Genomic DNA, 1,607 nt, shown 5'->3' with positions numbered 1-1,607 from the left:
CTGGCAGGGAATAGGGTCTTGTGCCCACCTCATTGACCGTCACTTAGACCAGGTATTAAGCAGAATAATTCTCTTTGACAAACAACAGCCTTATGGAATCCATGAGAATGTTCAGGGAACCCTGACAGAGATAAGAACTAGTTTCCAAGAATAGGAAAAGATGGTATGGCAAATCTTTGCCTTTACTTTGATCTGTGGCAGGAAACTGGTTTTTAAGAAAATCTGGGTTGTTCCTCCACCTCCTTTTCTTTGTCTTTTATATTTCTGTGGGTATGCTGGTTTCTAGTTATACACATTAACTGAACACCTCATCACTCACCAACTCTGCCCCTGTGGCTACAGTTTGTGTATGCCTCTCTCCTGGAGCAGAGGAGATCCTTGGTCTGATAACACACTCAGTCTTCCCAAAGTCATGGCTCTAAGGGAAACAAGCCACACACGAATCCAACAGGCTTAGACAGAGGACTTGGAATTCCACATGCTTGGCTCAACCCTGGAAGTGACTTGGGCTCTTGCCTCACCACATGAAGAGCTCTAAGCATTCAGGTAATTATGGTTTTTGCCCTCAGAAGGCCACAAATGACTGGAATCAGTGGCATGGAGAATAAGAGAGAAAATGCAGAAACTATTCACTCCTGCTACAGGACAATGGGTAGACAGAACTGCAATTCAGATTCTAGAGCCCCTGGGAAGACAGTTAATCAGTAGTCCAGCACAGAACCATGTTTGAGGAGAGTGGAGAAGCCAACAGTGTTCCAGAAGACGTGCTGCCTTCCTTCTCCCCCAAGTTTGATGCTGCTTGTTTTGTTATGCAACATGCCCTTGAGTTTCTATCCAACACTGGAGCTTTTTACCCAGGTCCATCCACACCTTCTAGCCCAAAATGCCCTGTGCAAATTGTATATAGATTAAGACACCTCTTGTGCACCACACTCAACCCCCAATCCTCTCAGCCCACCACTTACTCCAGCCACTGTTGCAGTGACCAGTTCTGATGGGCTCTGGCAACCCCTACTTCAGCCCTGCAATGTATTCTCTCTTGCTTTCTACCCACGGGACAGAACTTATTTGGGACTCATGCATGTGCAGCCTGGAAACATGTGGAGCTGACACCTGTGGGCTGCCTTTACAAATGGATGCCAACAGAGAAATGCTTCCCCCTTTTACTCAAGGTACAGATGGTGTTGAGATGCATTTCATAAGCTTCTTCTGAAGTCCTTGCTGGATGGAGCATCCCTGCCTTTGGTGCTAGTCAACCTGAAAATGCATCTTTGTATTCAGCCTCCCTCCTTCCCTGTTCTCCTCCTGTCCTTTATTGCTGCTCCCTGGAATCTTGTCCCCAAAGCATAAACTGCTTAACTGCACAGAAGCACTTGTCTCAGTCTCTACTTTCAAGGGAACCCAAGATACATTTGTGCAAGAAGGCTGGCTCAGCCCATAGTCAATTAATAAAGTGAAGAATTCTAGTGCACAAGAATCAAATCTTAGTCTTAGAGATTAATCCCAACCATTGCTAGAATTAGCCCAAGCTGATACAGAGAAAAGGCAGATGACAGTGTGGCACAGGCTCACTAAATTCTAGAAATAAAGATTCTAGGCAGTTGCTG

This window comes from Homo sapiens, chromosome 5 (assembly GCF_000001405.40).
Source record: "Homo sapiens chromosome 5, GRCh38.p14 Primary Assembly".
NCBI classification, from domain to species: domain Eukaryota; kingdom Metazoa; phylum Chordata; class Mammalia; order Primates; family Hominidae; genus Homo; species Homo sapiens.
The sequence above is the reverse complement of the archived record's forward strand: the minus strand, read 5'-3'. Positions refer to the sequence as shown.